Source organism: Homo sapiens, chromosome 11, assembly GCF_000001405.40.
Source record: "Homo sapiens chromosome 11, GRCh38.p14 Primary Assembly".
Classification (NCBI taxonomy): Eukaryota; Metazoa; Chordata; class Mammalia; order Primates; family Hominidae; genus Homo; species Homo sapiens.
In genome coordinates, this window is record NC_000011.10 from 63,142,933 (window position 1) to 63,164,377 (window position 21,445).

The 21,445-nt window shown below is 40.0% G+C and overlaps 2 protein-coding genes across 3 annotated transcripts in view; both read right to left on the reverse strand.

The window, feature by feature from the left end:
* Positions 1-1,289, reverse strand: part of SLC22A24 (solute carrier family 22 member 24) — a 64,282-nt gene extending 62,993 nt beyond the window's left edge. For both annotated transcript variants that reach the window (NM_001136506.2, NM_173586.3), the window contains exon 1: positions 446-1,289. In NM_001136506.2, coding sequence (NP_001129978.2) covers positions 446-847 — 402 coding nt within the window. In that variant the 5' untranslated portion in view covers positions 848-1,289. The remainder of the gene's footprint in view (positions 1-445) is intronic.
* A 14,215-nt stretch (positions 1,290-15,504) lies between these two features.
* The window catches only part of SLC22A25 (solute carrier family 22 member 25), an 85,163-nt gene continuing 79,222 nt past the window's right edge, over positions 15,505-21,445 (reverse strand). The window contains exon 12 of the mRNA NM_199352.6: positions 15,505-21,141. Within this exon, the coding sequence (NP_955384.3) occupies positions 20,892-21,141 (250 nt within the window). The 3' untranslated portion in view covers positions 15,505-20,891. The remainder of the gene's footprint in view (positions 21,142-21,445) is intronic.

Genomic DNA, 21,445 nt, shown 5'->3' on the forward strand with positions numbered 1-21,445 from the left:
ACAAAAACAACCAAAACTAAGTATCTCAACAACATTTTGTAGGAGAAACACTTTCACAACCAGCAGAATGCAGAAAAATTTGTCAAATCCCAAAGCGTGGATATTTATGTTACAGAATTAACAAACTTATTTCTCATTGCCAAAAATGTGTTGATTGTAATGGTTCCTATTTTGATTAATAAAGATGTGTTTGAGCCTAGTTATAATGATTTAAAATTCATGGTCTAATACCACAATTTACTTTTACACCAATATAATACTAATACACTTGGCTGTATCGTAGAGTATTAATAGATAATCAGGTGCTGCCACCTGCTAAAGGAATGAAGAATGAGCTGACTGCAGGTCCCATCTAAGGACTAAAGGTATAAAGCAAGTCAATTTTTTTGTGTTAACTCCAAACACTTTAATCATATAAACAGAAGATTTACATGGGGCCTCTTACCTCAGTCACGATGGTGGAGAGGAAAGAGCTTCTGTCGTACACCCAGCCATCCACACAGGGCTCCGTGTCTGGCTCATTTGTGTTGGGGAAGGTCCCGTTCAGGTGAAGGAGCTGCCACTGGGGATGGATAAAGCGCTGACACTTCTGTGGCCTCAGGTTTGAGTCCAGTGGGATGGAGATTCTCAGGAGGTCATCCTTGCTGAGGGTCCCGGTATCATTGTCAGACACAGTGTCATTGTCCAGGAGGGGGACCCAGCAGCGATGACTAGGGGTGAATGCAGTGAAGTTCTCCAACACAATATTAGGGAACAGTAGGATGTTGGTGATGCAAAAGAAAGCTATCAGACAAATCTGGAATCTCCCCATGCCACCCACTTGATCCAGGAGCACATCAAAGCCCATTGAGACTGAACAGGTGATCCCCAAGAGGAAGCACAATGACTTTATGAAGAGAAGTTCAGAGGGAGAAAATGTCCCCTTTCACAAAGTTACCATAGTGCCATGTGGATCCTGACACTGCTTTCTTCTTGGTGGGCCCTGCACTGAGTGGTGTGACACTACTGCAGAAGAGCAGTGGAAGGACTTTCCCCAAGTCCTTTAACTTTAGGCAGCCAAATAGTTTCAGAAGTCACAGATATAATTATTTGGCAAAGAGACTGCTAGCTGTTGACAACTGAATCTTCTTAAAAGACTACTCTGTGAAAGATCCTGATCTCTGAGTTTCCTGATAAGTCAACGGTGGATTTTCAGGTGGATGCAGTCCCCACGTGACCTAAAATACACCTGTTCAATAGTCTGCCATTCTTCTTAGAAATGGGATATTAGAAAATCCAAAGTGAATTGCTTTATGATGTTCTTGTACAAAGATCAGAGAGCAGGGCTTTTTTTGGACTAGGACTGAGTTTTACTAAAAGTTAATAAAAACTATTCTTAGTTAAAGGAAAGTGGAATGTTGAGTTTAAACATTGACTTTTGCTAAGTGTAGTTCTGCTTCAGTTCAAGTCATACCAATGACAGGGCTTTAAAGATTTTTTAAAATAGGGAAATTAGGATAAGAAACAAAGAGAAAGGAAATAGTGCTTTTATGTATTATAGTAGTATATTTCACCAGATTTATTGATTCATTCAAATATCATTTTGGGCTTTCTGGTGCTATTGCTGTAAATAAAGCAATGTTAACTTACATATATTTATTTATAAGTTTAAAATAAAATTTGAGCTCAATGTCTCATATAAATGATAGGTTTGTAAATAATTGTACTGTAATGTCATCATATAACTATAAGGAAGATACACAGTGTGCTATGGAAGATTAAGGAGAAACTGTTTAATGATACCTGGATAGATGCCATGGAGCAGGGGAGTCATCCCTCTACAAATTAACTTTACCTACTCTTTTTTTTTTTGAGACAAAGTATCACTCTGTCACCAGGCTGGAGTGCAGCGGTGGGATCTTGGCTCTCTGCAGCCTTGACCTCCTGGGTTCAATCAATTCTCATGTCTCAGCCTCCCAAGTAGCTGGGATTACAGGCATTCACCCACATGCCCAGCTAATTTTTGTATTTTTTATGGAGAAGGGGTTTCATCATATTGGCCAGGCTGGCCTCAAACTCCTGACCTCATGTGATCTGCCCACCTCAGCCTCTGAAAGTGCTGGGATTACAGGCATGAGCCACCATGCCCAGCCAGCTTGACCTACTCTTGTGGGAAGATTCTTGAGATAATGAAGCAGTGGATGAGGGACTGCAAGAGTCAATTTTTAAATGAGGGAATAATAAGTACACAATTACAGTTAAAGGTGTGGCATAATTGTGTACCTACAAGGATATTCAAAAGCTAGCAGCTAAATAGCATGCACGGATATAATGGGAAAAGACAGGTTGATTAAAAAGAAACCCAAAGAAACAAACAGAATCTCCAGAATTTATTCTGCCTACAAGAAGTTCTTATTTTTGAATTTCAAACTGGTCACCCGTGAAACATCTTAAGATGCAGATTCCTGGATGGGTGCAGTGGCTCACACCCATAATCCCAGCTACTCAGGAGGCTGAGGCAGGAGAGCCACTTGAACCTGGGAGTGAAGGTTGCAGTGAGCTGAGATTGTGCCACTGCACTCCAGCCTGGGTGACACAGCAAGACTCTGTCTCAAAAAAAAAAAAAAAAAAAAAAAAAAAAAAAAAAAAAAGCAGATTCCTGTCCAGCCTGCAGAGATTCTCTGTTCAGGAAATGACTTTCATGGATCTATTCCAAACAGGAAATCTAATACATCACAGGGTTTTGTTGTAAATTGTTAGAAATGTTTTAGTTCACTAGGGCTGCATAACAAAATACCACAGACTTAACAGAAGGTGACTTTACAGAAGTTTATTTTCTCACAGTTCTGAAGGCTGAAAGTCTAAGATCAAGGTGTCAACAGATTTGATTTCCTCTGAGCCTCTCTCTTTGGTTTGTCAATAGCTGCCTTCTCGTCATGTCCTCACATATTCTTTCATTTATGCATGTGCACACCTGGTGTTCCTTCCTCTTCTTATAAGGACACTAGTCATATTGGATCAGGGCCCCACCCTATGGGTCTCATTTTAACCTATCCCCAAATATGGTTGTATTTTGAGGTATTAGGGGTTGGGACTTTGACATAGGAATTTTGGGAGTGGGAGACACAATTCACCCCATAATGGGGTTAGACAATCACAATTATATTTTACTAAAGTTACTGACACAGTGTAAAAATAGTAAGAAGTGAACGTTCCAGCAAGGCAAACCATTCAGAACCACAAGAATAAAATGATGTAAAGAATGATTACAGCTGTGAATTCACTGAGTATTCGCTATAAGTCGATTCTGTTGTAAGCACTTTTAATGTTTTCCTTATTTTAGTTCTCACCCTTGTTATCTACATTTTACCCCTGAGAAAACAAAGGACTAGACACATTAAATAACTTGCCAAAGGATATACAGAGTGTAAGTGGTAGAGCCAAAATATGGACCATGGTAGTCTAAAGGAAAATCTCTTACTCACTTTAATAAATGACTTATTTTCTTTTTCTTTTCTTTTATTTTATTATTATTATACTTTAAGTTTTAGGGTACATGTGCACAACGTGCAGGTTAGTTACATATGTATACATGTGCCATGCTGGTGCGCTGCACCCATTAACTCATCAGTAAATGACTTATTTTCATCTCATAAATTAAATGATTGTTTTTATGCTCAGAAACAACGATGGCCTATCTAGAGTCAAGATGGCTGGAAGAGGAGAGGCTGAAACCATTGTGCCCCATCCCCCAAATCTCCCATGAAACACAGAAAATTTAAAGGAGAGGAAATTAGTAAGTATCATGGTGACCAAGTATAGACACAAAAAGGAATAAGAAGGAATGTTCCATAGGTCAAAATAGTGATGTATCTCTAGAGTAATGAGTAAGTAAAGAAGCATGCAGAGAAAAAAGCATTAGTAAGGACAATAATGATCACTAGCAATATATTGTCATTTCCTATGTGCCAGACACTGGGCTGGGTGATTTCTGTGCATGTTATTTATTCCTCACAACAACCCCGTGAGATGGGTATTACCCTCCTTGGTTTACAGGGAAAATGTAACATGGACAAGTGTTGTAATATGCCCTATTAAGTTGACTGGGATAGTAAGATGTGAACACTGTATAAAGCTTAAAAAGTCTGGCAGGGAGTCCAGTGTTGGGTACACAGTGGAAGATTAGACTGGTGGCAATTAGGAAACTATGGGTGATGATACAAACACCCACCTGTAAAATTCTCATTCCACCCTCATGGCACCCAGGCTTCTTCTGTTTCACAGATTCTACAATCATTTGGACAAAAGAAGCCCAGGTACTGTAATGTCAGCATGAGAAGTTTATGTCTTATTCAAATGGAAGAGAGGTGAAGTCTACTCACTCTTGCTGAGGTTGAATTCCTATTGTGCACCACCACAGCTATCTCTCTGTTTTATGTGCCTATAGGCTGTTATGTTCATCTATTTATCTCTCATTTCCTTCCAGCATTATTGATTGTTTTGCTGGCTTTATATAGTTTCTTTAGGACACTTACATTGACTTGCTACTGTGCTCAGTTCTTTCCTTTGATCTCACTGACACCTTTCAGTATTACATGGCAGCAAGACTAGTTTTAACATCCATGTTTTCTTAGTGGAAACAAACTGTATACTGAAGGACATGGGAAGCTTTGGTAAGGCAATACTACTGTAAAAACTGAGGCCTCCCCTATAAGCCTGCATAGGAAGATGCACCAGGAAGGGCTGCCCTCATCTCTGAATACACCTGCCAGTGAATCAATGGAATCAGAACCTTACCTATCTTTTGGGGAAGCAAGGAAAGCCAGGACACAGACAAAATAATTCTGTAGTGTAAGATAAGCTCCATTAAGAAATCACCAACCTCCTGACATACAAACGGACAGTGATGTCTCTCAATTTGAAAAGCAGAAACCAAAATAAACTTTGATGAACCCATTTTCTCCTTAAGCTACTGCCCTATTACCTGATATTATTGACAGCAAATCTTTTCTCACTTTCTTCCCTTCCATTTACATTTTAACTCAATCCTATCAGGCGTTTATCACCAAATTTCTTCTTAGTAAGGAAGGTCTTAATGTTTTCCATATTATTAGATCCAAATGTTTATGTGTTGCAGTTGATAAATTCTTCTTCCTGGAAACATTTTTCTCATTTGGCCTCCCAGATTTCTACTCTGTTTTTATTTTACTAATTCATTCCAGGCTCTAGTTTCTCAGTCTTCTGTGCTGAGTCTTCAAACATTGGAGTTTTGGAGGGCTAAGTTCTTTAACAATTTCTCTTGTTTACATGTACTCACTTCCTTAATTTATTTTCTAATGCTTCTATCTTAGTCAGTTGCATGTTGCTATAAAGGAATACCTGATGCTATGTAATTTGTAAAGAAAAGAGGCTTATTTGGCTCATGGTTCTGCAGACGGTATAAGGATTGTGGCATCAGCATCTACATCAACTGTGGGCTTCAGGCTGTTTCCACTGCAGAAGGTGGAGGGAAGCCAGGGTATTGTGGAGGTCACATGGCAAGAGAGGTAGCAAGAGGGCAGTTGGGGAGATGCCAGACATTTTTTAATAGCCAGTTCTTAAGGGAACTAATAGATTGATAACTCACCCACCTTCAAGAGAGAGCATTAATCTATTCATGAGAGATCTGCCTCCACTACCCAAATACCTCCCAGTGGGCTCACCTCCGATAATTGGGGTCAAATTTCAACATGAGATCTGGAGGGACAAACATCCAAACTATAACAAACTCTTAGATTTTTATCTGCAGCAAACTACTCCCCTAAACTCCAAGTTTTAAAAATTGCTTTACCTTCAAATGACGCCCAGAATCTGACTTCTCCTAACTACCAGCCTACTACCTCCCAAGTCTAAGTCCCTCTCATTTCTCACCTGGACTATTCCCCTGCCCCGCTACCTTTCTTCCACACAAATTGCAGAGTATACCGTTTCCAATTTGTCATGTCATGTCAAATCTCAAATACCTCCTGTGGCTTCCATGTCCTGCAGAATAATGTCAACCACCCTACTACCTTCAAGGTCTTATTAGATTTAGTCCCTTCTGTCCCTTTACCCATATGACTTTACCTTATTTTTCTCTACCCATACTGGCCTTCTTTGTGTTTCAAATGATGCTAGGCAATTTCCACTCCAGGATTTCTGCATTGACTTTTCCACAAAATGCCTCAAAAATTCCATCAGTTCTTTCAGTTCTCCAGTCAAATGTTACCACATTTGAGAGGCCTTCCCTATGTTGTCTCCTTACATATTGATCTAGATGCCATCTCTCTCTCTACGCATATCCTTATTCTGTTTCATTTTCTTCATGCCATTGAGCACTACCAGCCATATATTTGCTTATTACCTATTTCCCCACTACTTGAATGTACTTCCAGTGAAATAAAACAGTCTGCTTTGATCTTTCTTGTATCCTCATCATCGTGAAGAGTTTTTGGAACATGTTAAGTGCCAAATAAATAATTGTGGAACACTGAACAAAGAAACATGAGACATTCCAAGATATTGGCAACCCATCGTAAAAACCACATAATATCATTTATTCAATAGAATTTGATATGGGGAACTAACATGCAAAGTTCAGACAAGGAATGGTAAAACAACTCAGACATCAGCAATGGAGGAAGGTGCTACTACACGAACTGGAGAACAAGTAGAAGAGTTAATGCCACCTGTATTCAGGTGCTAGGATCACCCAGAGGAACCTAGAGGAAATGCGCTAGATGGGTGGGAGCTGGAACAACAGAGGAGATATTGTCACTGATGTAGGTCCTGCCTAAATCAAGGGGGCTTCTGCCTTCCTTTTGCTCTCCAATATTCCACCGTCTTTTATTGCCTGGCCCTAACCACAATCAAATTGCCAACAGAATCTGGAAATGTAGTGTGATGGTTAATTTTAGGTGTCCACTTGACTCGATTAAAGAGTACCTAGAGTGAGGTTTTCCAGAAGAAATTAGCATGTGCGTCTGAGTGGACTAGGTGAGAAAGATTCTCCCTCAATGTGGGTGGGCACCGTCTAATCTGCTGGGGGCCCAAACAGAACAAAAACAGAGAAAAGGTAAATTATTCTCTCTCTCCAGAGCTGGGATACACTTTTCTTATCTTGCTTTGGATATCAGAACTCCAGCCTATCTGGCCTTTGAACCCGAAAACTTATACCAGCAGCTTCCCAGGTTCTCAGGCTTTTGGTGTTGGATGGAGAGTTACACCATTGGCTTCCCTGGTTCTGAAGTCTTCAGACTTGGACTGAGCCACATTACCAGCATACCAGGGTCTTCAGCTTGCAGACAACTTGTCACAGGATTTTTCAGCCTCCATAATCACATGTGCCAATTATCCTAAGAAACCCCTATCATTCATATATATATATATAATATATGTCATATATGTAGGAATGTCATATATGTCATATATGTATGAATACATATATCATATATATATTCTACTGGTCTGTCTCTCTGTAGAACCCTGATTCATACATGCAGTTTGCAAGGACATCTCCCTGGTTATTACCTTTACTTATATTGGGATTCCACTTTAACAAATGCTGTGGTATTCACCTATATTTGTTTTCAGAGTGTGCTATATTTCCATTATGATTTCCTAAAAATGCCTTTCTGCCTCCTCTATATGTTCTGCTTCCTGAATCATTTAACAGGTATTATACTTTGTGCACAGACACACCTATTTTGTTTATTGATCAGTCTGTTTGCTCCTGTTCTCATACCTCATTGTTTTTATTCACTCGTTTTGTATATGCTTAAAATCTGGCAGGGAAAGTCATTTAGCTTTGTTCTTCTTTTCAAAATTAGAATAGTTACCAGCAAATCTACATTAGTCTATATAAATTTTTAACCTTGTATGAGTATTGAAATTTACATATAGAAGTGTACCTAAAACACGTGTGTGTGTGTGTATATATATATATATATTTTTTGAGACAGAGTTTTGCTCTTGTCGCCCAGGTTGGAGTGCAATGGTGTGATCTTGGCTCACCGCAACCTCCGCCTCCTGGGTTCAAGCGACTCTCCTGCCTCAGCCTCCCGAGTAGCTGGGATTACAGGCATGCACCACCACGCCTGGCTAATTTTGTATTTTTAGTAGAGATGGGGTTTCTCCATGTTGGTCAGGCTGGTCTTGAACTCCTGACCTCAGGTGATCCACCCGCCTTGGCTTCCCAAAGTGCTGGGATTACAGGCGTGAGCCACCGCACCCAGCCACGTGTGTATATTTAAAAGAATTATTATAAACAGAACATGTATTTAACCACCATTCAAATGACAAAATCTAACTTAAGCGTAATTAAGAAAACACCTGTGTGCAACTTCAGAATAAATGTCTTCCTGCTTTTCTGTGAGTAACCACTTTTTAGATAATTGTAAAAATAATTTACAGGCATATCATTTTTTGTTTATGGCTCCTTTATCTTAGGTAAAATTTACACATTATGAAATATACAAATCTTAAGTGCAATTTCAAGGTATTTAAATAACTTCGCTTAGCAGTGTAAACTGCAATCCTCTCAACATGCAGAACAATTTCCTACTCCCAGAAAATTCTTTTTTTTTATTATTATACTTTAAGTTCTGGGGTACATGTGTAGAACGTGCAGGTTTGTTACATAGGTATACATGTGCCATGGTGGTTTGCTGCACCCATCAACCCATCACCTACATTAGGTATTTCTCCTAATGCTATCCCTCCCCTAGCCCACCACCCACCAACAGGCCCCAGTGTGTGATGTTCCCCTCCCTGTGTCCATGTGTTCTCATTGTTCCACTCCCACTTATGAGTGAGAACATGTGGTGTTTGGTTTTCTGTTCTTGTGTTAGTTTGCTGAGAATGATGGTTTCCAGCTTCATCCATGTCCCTGCAAAGGACATGAACTCATCCTTTTTTATTGCTGCATATTATTCCACGGTGTATATGTGCCACATTTTCGTTATCCAGTTTATCATTGATGGACAGTTGGGTTGGTTCCAAGTCTTTGCTATTGTGAACAGTGCTGCAATAAACATATGTGTACGTGTGCCTTTATAGTAGAATGGTTCGTAAACCTTTGGGTATATACCCAGAAATGGGATTGCTGGGTCAGATGGTGTTTTTAGTTTTAGATCCTTGAGGAATCGCCACACTGACTTCCACAATGGTTGAACTAATTACACTCCCACCAACAGTGTAAAAGTGTTCCTATTTGTCCACATCCTCTCCAGCATCTGTTGTGTCCTGACTTTCTAATGATTGCCATTCTAACTGGCATGAGATGGTATCTCATTGTAGTTTTGATTTGGATTTCTCTAATGACCAATGATAATGAGCTTTTTTTCATATGTTTGTTGGCTACATAAATGTCTTCTTTTGCGAGGTGTCTGTTCATATCCTTTGCCCACTTTTTGACGGGGTTGTTTGTTTTTTTTCTTGTAAATTTGTTTAAGTTACTTGTAGATTAGCCCTTTGTCAGATGGATAGATTGCAAAAATTTTCTCCCATTCTGTAGGTTGCCTGTTCATTCTGGTGATAGTTTCTTTTGCTGTGCAGAAACTTTTTAGTTTAATTAGATCCCTTTTGTCAATTGTGGCTTTTGTTGCCATTGCTTTTGGTGTTTTAGTCATGAAGTCTTTGCCCATGCCTATGTTGCCTATGTTCTGAATGGTATTGCCTAGGTTTTCTTCTAGCGTTTTTATGGTTTTATGTCTTATGTTTAAGTCTTTAATCCCTCTTGAGTTAAGTTTTGTATAAGGTGTAAAGAAGGGGTCCATTTTCAGTTTTCTGCACATGGCTAGCCTGTTTTCCCAATACCATTTATTAAACAGGGAATCCTTTCCCCATTGCTTGTTTTTGTCAGGTTTGTCAAAGATCAGATGGTTGTAGATGTGTAGTGTTATTTCTGAGGCTTCTGTTTTGTTTCATGGGTCTACATATCTGTTTTGGTACCAGTACCATGCTGTTTTGATTACTGTAGCCTTGTAGTATAGTTTGAAGTTAGGTAGCTTTGTTCTTTTTGCTTAGAATTGTCTTGGGTATATGGGCTCTTTTTTGGTTCTACTTGAAATTTAAGGTAGTTTTTTCTATTTCTGTGAAGAAAGTGAATGGTAGCTTGATGGGTGGGCTTCTTCCTAGATCAGTTTTGGCTGCTAGCCCTTATCTCTTGACTACAGATTTTTTCATTTTCCTTTAATTTTTTAATTTTAATTTTTAACTTTTTACTTGGTATATAATTTTTATACATATTATGGGATATATTTGATATTTAGTTACATACATAGAGTATATAGTAATAAATCCAGAGTATTTGGAGTGTTCATTACCTCAAGTATTTACCATTTCTAGCTATTTCAAAATATAGAATACATTGTTGTTAACTATAGTCACCCTCCTCTGCTATAGAACCTTAGAATTTATTTATTCTATTTAACTGTATATTTGTACTAATTAACTAATACCTTTTTCTCTCCCCACTCCCCACACTCCCATACCCTTCTAAGCCTCTGGTATCCATTATTCTACTCACTACCTTCATGAGATCAACATTTTAGCTCCCACATGTGAGACAGAACATCTGATATTTGTCTTTTGGTGTTTTATTCCCGTAACATAAAACTCTCCAGTTCCAGCCATGTTGCTGAAAGTGATATTATTGCTTTTAAGATACTAAATAGTATTCCATTGTATATATGTACCAAAATTTTTTATCTATTCATCTGTTGATGGACACAGGTTGAGTCTATATCTTTGGCACTGAACAGTGCAATGTTGCTGCAATGAACATGGGAATGTACATATCCCTTTGCTATTCTGATTTTCTTTCCTTTGGCTATATACTCAGCAGTGGGATTGCTAGATCATATGATAGTGCCATTTTTAGTTTTTTTGAGCACTCTCCATACTGTTTTCTATAGCGGCAGTACTAATTTACATTCCCATCAATGGTGTATTAGCTCCCTTTTTTTCACAATCCTTGACAGCATCTGTTATTTTTGTCTTTTTTTTTTTGAGATGGAGTCTTGTTCTGTTGCCCAGGCTGGAGTGCAGTGGTGCAATCTTGGCTCACTGCAACCTCTGTCTCCCGGGTTCAAGGGATTCTCTTGCCTCAGCCTCCCGAGTAGCTGGGATTACAGGTATGTGCCACCACACCCACCTAATTTTTGTATTTTTAGTAGAGATGGTGTTTCACCATCTTGTCCAGGCTGGTCTCAAACTCCTGACCTCAGGTTATCCACCTGCCTTGGCCTCCCAAAGTGCTGGAATTACAGGCATGAGCCACTGCACCCCGCCTATTTTTGTCTTTTTAATAATAACCATTGTAACTTGGGTAAGATGACACCTTATTGTGGGTTTGATTTGCATTTCTCTGATGATTAGTGATGTTCAGCATTTTTTCATATACCTGTTGGCCATTTGTGTATATTTTTTGAAAAATGCCTATTCATGTTTTTTTTTTGCCAATTTTTAAGTTGGATATAGATATATATTTTGCTGTTGAGTTGTTTGAACTCCTTGTATATTCTTGTAATTCCCTGTCAGATGAATAGTTTGCAAATATTTTCTTTCTTGCAACAGGTTGTCTCTTCATTCTGTTGATGTGCAGAAGATTTTTAGCTTGAGGTAATTCTATTTGTCTATTTTTACTTTGGTTGTCCATGCTGATTTCTTACACAAAATACCTTTGCTGATTCCAAAGTCCTGGGGCATTCCCCAATGTTTTATTTCAGCAGTTTCATTGTTTTAGTCTTTAGTTTTAGTTTCATAGCTTTAGTCTTCCAGTAGTTTCATAATTTTAATTCTTAACTGATTTTGATTTGATTTTCATATATGGTGAGAGATAGGGATCTAGTTTCATTTTTCTGCATTTGAATATCCGGCTTTCCCAGCATAATTTATGGAAGAGAATGTCCTTGCCTTAATTAATATTCTTCATGCCTTTGTAAAAAATGCGTTGGCTATAAATGCATTCATTTACTTCTGGGCTTTCTGTTTTGTTCCATTGATCTCTGTGTCTGTTATTTATTCATTATTTTAAAAAATTTTTGTAGGTACATTTTAGGTGTATATATTTATGGGGTACATGGATGTTTTGATACAGGCATGCAATGTGAAATAAACACATCATGGAGAATGGGGTATCCATGCCCTCAAGCATTTATCCTTTGAGTTATAAATAATCCAACTACATTCTTTAAGTTACTTTAAAATATACAATTATTATTGACCGCAGTCACCCTACTGTGCTATCAAATAGTAGGTCTTATTTATTCTTTCTATTATTTTTGTACCCATTAACCATCCCCACCTCCACTACAATGCACCACTACCCTTCCTAGCCTATGGTAACTATTCTTCTACTCTCTATCTCCATGAGTTCAATTTATTTGATTTTTAGATCCCACAAATAAGTTAGAACAGGCAATGCTTGTCTTTCTGTGCCTGGCTTATTTCATTTAGCACAATTATCTCCAGTTCTATCCATCCTGTTGCAAATGACTTATAGAATTCTGAATTCCTTCTCTGTGTCATCTTGAATTTCTTTGGGTTTCCCCAACACAGCTATTTTGAATTCTCTGGCTGAAAGGTCACATATCTCTGTTTCTCCAGTACTGGTCCCTGGTACCTTATTTAGTTCATTTGGTAAGGTCATGTTTTCCTGGATGGCGTTGATGGTAGTACATGTTCTTGGGTTTCTGGGCATTGAAGAGTTAGGTATATATTATAGTCTTCACAGGCTGGGTTATTTGTAGCTGTCCTTCTTGGGAAGGCTTTTCATATATTTGAAAGGGCTTGGGTGTTGTGACTTAAGCTGTATCTGCTTTAGAGGGTACCCCAAGCCTTGTAACACTGTGTTTCTTTCAGTGTCATAGAGGTACTGCCTTGATGGTCCTGGACAAGATCTGAAAAAATTCTCTAGATTTTAAGGCAGAGACTCTTGTTCCCTTTTCTTACTTTGTGCAAATTATACAGTCTCTCTCTCTGTTCTCAGCCACCTAAATCTTGAGGTAGAGTAACACAAGCACCCCTGTGGCCACTGCCAGTAGGACTGCACTAGATCAGACCCGAAGCCAGCATAGCACTGGCTGTCATGCAGGGCCTGCTGTAACCACTCCCTGACTACTACCTATGTTCATTTAAGGCCCTGGGGCTGTATAATCAGCAAGTGGCAAAGCCAACTAGTCCTGTATCCTTCTCCTGAGGGTGGTGAAGTCCCCCAGGCTGTGAGTGGGTCCAGAAGTGCTCTCCAGGAATCAGGCTGCAATCAAATAACTTAAAAGTCTACTTGGTATTCTATTGTATTGTGGCTGATCTGGCACTCAAACCAAAGGATGCAATTCTTCCTGTTCTGTCCTCCCCTTTTCAAAGGCAGAGAAGCCTAGCCTTGTAGCCACTGCCACCCCTGACTATGAGGCCAGCCTACTGCCAGTGTTCCCTTAAGGCCCAAGATCTCTTAAGTCAGCTTGTCATGAATGCTGCCTGGCCTGCAACTCCCCCACTGGGGCAGTGGGCTCCTCTCTGGCCCAGGACAGGTCGAGAAATAACATTTAAGAATCTAGTCCTAGAATTGGAGGACCCCAAGAGCTGGCTTAGTGCTCTGCCAACCTGTGGTGGTGCCAGTACCAAAGGTGCAAGACAAAGTTCCTTTACTTTTCCCTCTGCTTTTCTCAAATAAAAGGAATTTTTCCCCATAGCCATCACAGTTGGTAATGTGCTGGGTCTCACCAGAAGCCAGCAAGTCCCAGAGGCTCATCAAAGCCCTTGATGTAGTACCTGGGTATCACTGCTAGTTATTCAGGGCCCAAGGGCTCTTCATTTAGCAGGTGATAAATGCTGGTGGGACTGGGTCCTATCTTTCAAGGCAGTGGGTTCCCTTCTGGCCCACGGTGTATCTAGAAATGTCATCTGGGATCTAGGGCCTGGTCAGGGGCCTCTTGACTCTGACTGGTGCCCTATCCTGTTGTAGCTGAGCTGGTATCCAAGATGCAGGACAAAGTCCTCCTGCTTCTTCCTTCTCCTCAAGCAGAAGGAAGGGACCTTTTTTGAAATGGTGAGCTGTGCAGCCTTGGGTTAGGGAAGGTTGATGCCAGCATTCCCTTGGCTGCCCCAGGTCGTGCCTCAGTATGTCACCTGTCCCTCCAGTCCACTGTCTCCAGGCCTAGTTCAGCTCTGGGACCCACCTATGAGTTGCATTCCTTATGGTCTAGACTGCCTTTCAAGTTTACTTAGAGATCAAAAGCACTCTGGCCCTGGGTGGCAAGGTTTTTGGGCACCCAATTTTGGACTGCTGGTATAGGAGATTCCCCTTTAGCTAAGGCTGGTTCAAATGCTTCCTCTGTGGGCAGGCCTCAGCTGAGTTTGGTTCAATTTTTCTTTCTGCTCTAACAGGACAGCATTGAGTTCAATTCCTCACAATTACAGTGTTCTCCCTCCCCAGTGCCCAGAGATGCTCCCTGCACAAGGCTGGCATTGCCTGGGGTGGAGGATGGGTGGCATCCCTCTCTTTTATCTTTCTTCAGTGCGTCTTTCAGCTATGTAAAGTTAAAATCTGGTACTGTGAATGCTTGAAACCGCCATTACAAAATTGTAACAGACAGTGAAAGAGATTTGATCTAACCAACTCCACGTTGCTTCTAGTCTCCAAATTGTCCTTGTTAATTTCTGGATGTAGGCTGAACTAACTTTGGGAGGAACGTAATTTATAGTTTACAGTTTAAAACAAAGATGATAACAACCATTTACAGAAACAAACCTACTTCTTGCCTGGGAACTAGAAGGACTAAGAAATAAGTCCTTTGTAGGACTAAGAAATTGGCCACAAGATTAGAAATTATTGTTTAGGAGTCATGCAGCTGGAGGCTACAAGATTCTGACCCTCCCTAAACTGCTCCTAAGAACAGTGCTTGAGATATTTTGCAGACACTGCACTTGATGGATCAGCTGTCACCACCCTGATTAATAAACTGGCTCATCTGGTCTTGTGGCCCCCATTCAGGGAACTGATTCAGCAAAAGAAGATAGCCTTGATGCCCTATGATTTCATCTCCGACCCGACCCATCAGCACTCCTGGCTCACTGGCTTCTTCCCACCCACTAAGTTGTCCTTAAAAACTGTGCTCCCAGAATGCTCAGAGGGACTGATTTGAGTAATAATAAAACTCTAGTCTCCCACATAGCTGGCTGTGTATGAGTTACTCTCTCTATTTCAATTCCCCTGTCTTGATAAATTGGCTCTGTCTAGGCAACATGCAAGGTGATCCCATTGGGCGGTTACATGCTGTCCTGATTTTTGGTCTTATGAAAGTTTTTTTTTTCTATGTAGATAGCTTTTCACTTGGTGTCCCTGCAGGAGGGATAACGGGTGGAACTTTCTATGCTGCATCTTGATCTACCTGTCCCCTAGAATACTTATTTTGACATATGGAGAATATATATCTTTTAAAGCATATATGGTGCAGTTTCCTAAAGTGAACCACATTACATCAAATAGAAATTTTTAAACAAATATATATTTTAAAATGTTTTATTTTTAATTTTTGTGGCTACATAGTAGATGGATATATTTATGGGGTGTATGAGATGTTCTGATATAGGTATGCAATGTGTAATTATCTTGTCATGGAGAATGGGGTATCCATCTTCTCAGTCATTTATCCTTTGTGTTACAAACAATCCAGTTATACTCCTTTAGTTATTTTAAAATGTACAATTAAATTATTTTGACTACAGCACCCTGTTGTGTTATCAAATACTGGATATTAATAATCACATTATGCAGCATGGGGTATCTGTCCCTCAAGCGTTTATTCTTTGTGATTACAAACAATCCAATTATACTTTTTTAGTTATTTAAAAATGAATTAAGTTATTATTGACTATAGTCATCCTGTTGTGCTATCAAATAGTAGATCTTATTCATTCTTTCCAACTTCCTTTTTTCCCCCCATTAACTATTCCCACTTCCCCTGAAGCACCCAATACCCTTCTCAGCCTCTGGTAATCATCCTTCTCTCTCTATGTCTATGAGTTCAATTGTTTTTATTTTTATCTCACACAAATAAGCAAGAACATGTGATGTTTGTCTTTCTGTGCCTGGCTTATTTCACTTAACATAATGATCTCCAGTTCCATCCATGTTGCTGCAAATGACAGGATCTCATTCTTTATTTTATGGCTGAATAGTACTTCATTGTGTATATGTACCACATTTTCTTTATCAATTCATCTGCTGATGGACACTTAGGTTGCTTCCAAACCTTGGCCATTGTGAACAGTTCTGCAACAAATGTGGGAGTGCAGATACGTCTTTGATATACTTATTTCCTTTCTTTTGGGTATATGCCTTTGATATGATTTGGCTGCACCCCCACCCAAATCTCATCTTGAATTATAGCTCCCATAGTTCCCACCTGTCATGGGAGGGAGCCTGTGGGAGGTAATTGAATCATGGGGCCAGGTCTTTCCCGTGCTATTCTTGTGATACTGAATAAGTTTCATGAGATCTGAGGGTTTTATAAGGGGGAGTTTCCCTGCAGAAATTCTCTTTTCCCTGCTGCCATGTAAGTTGTGCCTTTCACCTTCTGCCGTGATTGTGAGGCTTCCCCAGCCAGGTGGAACTGTGAGTACATTAAACCTCTTTTCTTTATAACTTACCCAGTCTCAGGTATGTCTTTATCAGCAGCATGAGAAATGGACTAATATAGTAAATTGGTACTGATAGAGTGAAGTGCTTCTGTAAAGATACCCACAAATGTGGAAGCAACTTTGGAACTGGGGCAATATTTGGAGGGCTCAGAAGAAGACAGGAAAATGTTGGAAAGTTTGGAACTTCCTAGAGACTTGTTGAATGGCTTTGACTGAAATGCTGATAATGATATGGAAAATGAAATCCAGGCTGAGGTGGTCTCAGATGAAGATGAAGAACTTGTTGGTAACTGGAGTAAAGGTGACTCTTGCTATATTTTAGTAAAGAGACTGGCAGCGTTTACTCCTGTCCTAGAGATTTGTGGAACTTTGAACTTGAGTAAGATGATTTAGGGTATCTGTCAGAAGAAATTTTTAAGCAGCAAAGCATTCAAGATGTGACGGGTGCTGTTAAAAGCAGTCAGTTTTAAAAGGGAAACTCAGCAAAAAAGTTTGAAAAATTTGCAGCCTGGTGATGTGATAGAAAATAAAAACCCATTTTCTGAGGAGAAATTCAAGCCTGCTGCAGAAATTTGCATAAGTAATGAGGAACCAAAGGTTAATCCCTAAGACAATGGGGAAAATGTCTCCAGGGCATGTCAGAGACCTTTGTGACAGCCCTTCCTATCACAGGCCTGGAGGCCTAGGAGGTCCAGGTGCCCCTGCTGTGTGCAGCCTTAGTGACTTGGTGCCCTGTGTCTCAGCCACTCTAGCCATGGCTAAAAGGGGCCAAGGTACAGATCAGGCTGTGGCTTCAGAGGGTGCAAGCCCCAAGCCTTGACAGCTTCCATGTGGTGTTGAGCCTACAGGTGCAAAGAAGTCAAGAATTGAGGTTTGGGAACCTCCACCTAGATTTCAGAGGATGTATGGAAATGCCTGGATGCCCAGGTAGAAGTTTGCTGCAGGGGTGGGGTCCTCATGGAGAACCTCTGCTTGGGCGGTGTGAAAGGAAGATGTGGGGTTGAAGTCCATACACAGAGTCTCCATCGGAGACTGCTTAGTGGAGCTGTGAGAAGAGGGTCTTCGACCTCCAGACCCCAGAATTGTAAAGGCATTGACAGCTTGCACTGCACACCTGGAAAAGCTGCAGACACTCAATGCCAGGTCACAAAAGCAGCCAGGAGGGAGGCTGTACCCTGCAAAGCCACAGAAGCAGAGCTGCCCAAGAGCATGGAAACCCACCTTTTGCATCATTGTGACCCAAATGTGAGACATGCAGTCAAAGGAGATAACTTTGGAGCTTTAAGATTGGACTTCCCTGCTGGATTTTGGAATTGTATGGGGCCTTTAGTAAAACTGCTATGGAGAACAGTTTGGAGGTTCCTCAAAAAAATTAAAAGTAAAGCTAACATTTGACCCAACAGTTCCACTGCACCATTGTATTAGTCCATTTTCAAGCTGCTGATAAAGACATACCTGAGACTGGATAATTTATAAAGAAAAAAGGTTTAATGGACTCACAGCTCCATGTGGCTGGTGAGGCCTCACAATCATGGTGGAAGACGATTCCCATGTAGTCAGTGCCTTTTATCTAGGTACAGCCTCATCCTTTTGTTTTGGTCAATTTCTCCCATTTGGAATGGATGTATTTATCCAATGCCTGTACCCCCATTGTATCTAGGAAGTAACCAATTTCTTTTGATTTTGCAAGGTCATAGGTGGAAAGGACTTGCCTTGTCTCAGATGAGACTTTGGACTGTAGACTTTTGAGTTAATGCTGAAATGAGTTAAAACTTTGGGGGACTGTTGGGAAGGCATGATTAGTTTTGAAATGTGAGGACATGAGATTTGGGAGGGGCCAGGGGCAGAATGATATGGTTTGACTGTGTCCGCCTACCCAATCTCATCTTGAATTGTAGCTCCCACAATTCCCACACATCATGGGAGGGATCCAGTGGGAGGTAACTGAATCATGGGGGTGAGTGTTTCCCATGCTCTTCCTATGATAGTGAATAAATCTCACATGATCTGATGGTTTTATAAAAGGGAGTTTCCCTGCAAAAATTATCTTTTTGCCTGCTGCCATGTAAGACGTGCCTTTCGCCCTCCACCAGGATTGTGAGGCTTCACCAGCTATGTGGAACTGTGAGTCCATTAAACCTCTTTCCTTTGTAAATTATCCAGTCTCAGGTATGTTTTTAACAGCAGCTTGAAAATGGACTAATACAATGATGCAGTGGAATTGCTGGGTCAAATGTTAGCTCTATTTTTAATTTTTTTGAGGAATCTCCAAACTCTTCTCCATAGTGATTGTACTAATTTACATTCCCACCAACAGTGTATGAGGGTTCCCTTTTCTCCACATTCTCACCAGCATTTGTTCTTGCCTGTCTTTTGGATATCAGCCATTTTAACTGAGGTAAGATGAGATCTCATTGTAGTTTTGATTTGCATTTCTCTGAGGATCAATGATGTTCAGCACTTTTTCCTATGACTGTTTGACATCTGTATGTCTTCTTTTGAGAAATACCTATTCACGTTGCCCATTGTTTGATGAGATTATTTGATTTTTCCTATAGAGTTGTTTGAGCTCCTTATATATTCTGGTGATTAGTCCTTTGTCAGAGGGGTAGTTTGCAAGTATTTTCTCCCATTCTGTGGGTTGCCTCTTTACTTTGTTGAATGTATCCTTTGCTGTGCAGAAGTTTTTTAACTTGCTGTGATCCCATTTGTCCACATTTGCTTTGTTTTCCTGTACTTGTGGGGTATTACTCAAGAAATCTTTGGCCAGTCTAATGTACTGGAAAATTTCTCCAATGTTTTCTTGTAGCAGTTTCATAGTTTGAGGTCTTAGATTCAAGTTTTTAATGCATTTTGATTTGATTTTTGTATATGGTGAGAGAGTTCTAGTTTTATTCTTCTGCATATGGATATCCAGTTTTGGAACTATTTTTTATGTTCTTATAAAAGTATGCAGCTTGAAAATGAGGTTTTTCCACTTTTTTCATTTTTTACATTGTAATTATTTAAGCAATTACTCTATTAAATAATTAAGGAAGAATCATTGTTTTAAATATTATTCCATCTTCATATCCAGAAACATGTGAGATGTATATAATTATACAAATGTTCTATTATGATTCCTTTTAAAGTGTTATGATTTTCTTCAAACTTCTTATGATTATTTGTAGATATTTTATATTTAACCATTTAGAATCACAGTTGTAAATGGAATGTATTTATCCATTATATCTTGTTATTTATTTATTTTCTAAATTTTAGTAGTATCTAGAAATGGTCTCGATTTTTCCTTTATCTTGCTGTTTAATCAGCAATCAGCACCTGGAATTCCTTAAAATTGTGTCACTTTGCTGCAGGTATCTTCCTGCCCTGCTTTTCTGGAGCATCTTCTCCTGGTGCAAATATAATGAAACCAACAAACAAAAAAGCTCAAAAATGAAAGACATGGACTAAACATATAAGTCCTGCATTCTTTAGGACATACTGATTCTTTGCCCACTAGCTTTAATAAAAAACATGCCTCTGCCCGCAAGTGTTTGTGTAAACCTTGTGAAGTAAAAAACCAAGCTCCCAGCCTAGGATCTGGGAAGGCAGCTTGAATAGCTTCAACTCTCACACTTGGACACCATGGCATTGACCAAAGGGATTTTGGAAAAGGCAAGAGAAGCACAGAAAAGTTTTAGAACCTTTTCTCATTCTTCATTACTTAAAAAATTCCTTTACTTATCACTTCTTTTCCCCTTTTCCAACGCTTTTTTTCCCCCGTGAAAATTAGATAGACTGAATCTCACATGTGATACAAAAGGACTTCTCATCTGTGGGAGGGGCTCTTATTTTCTATACAGTCTCTCACAAATTCTTCAGTGTCCTGGGAGTCAGGCCTGTAAGCACTGGCAATCCCAGACAGCTAACAGGTACACTCACTGGGCTGAGGGCTCCCCAGGGATGAGAAGATGGTGTTTGGATCCCTGCATGTTTGTAGAATACCTTCAAGAGTATGCATGTCATACCAGGGCAGGAAGGGCAGAGGTCACCTAATTTTGGTCTTTTCACCACAAATTAACCTCCTGGACAGGCTGGGCAGAGATGGTCTGTGTGATCTAGTGAGGCTCAGGGGATGTATGAGGTCACTGTGGAAGGGATGAGGATACACCAAAGGCAAAGGCACTGACTACATGGGAATAGCCCAGATCTAAGCCTTTTTGGGGGATGGTAGCCCTAAATGGTGTTTTGCTTTCCTCAGCACAGACCTATAGCACAGAGCTCCTCTGAGGGGCAGCTAGGCTATTTACTCCCTCATTTTCCACATCCTGGATGCTGTCAAGAAGAGGCTGGTTCCTGGTTTCAGGAAGGAGGAGGACAACAAGGCCAGAGAGGATGGCAAAGACTCCATAGATGATCCAGGGCAGGGGTCGAGAATATATGCTTAGGATCATCATGAGGGAAGCCAGGGCTCCCCCAATATTAGCAAAGTTTCCAGTGATTCCAGTAGCTCTTCCCCTTGGAGTAAAAACAGCAACAGAGGAAAAGTTGTTAAAAATCATACATATAATTTGTGATTTATCATTTTGCTGTGATTATGGATGAGCACTTAAACACATGGAGGTGATAACATACTCTTGCTTTTGAAATTTTCTCTTATTTGCTAGCAATTTATTTTAGATTCACAAGTGAATTAGACACATTTTTATCATTTACAAAATGCTATTTTCCTTAACATCAACCTTTCAGGTGGTTCAGAAGGTACATGGGATACTGCATTAAAAGACTTAATGCAGCGTCTGGAACAAAGTCAGCTTGATAT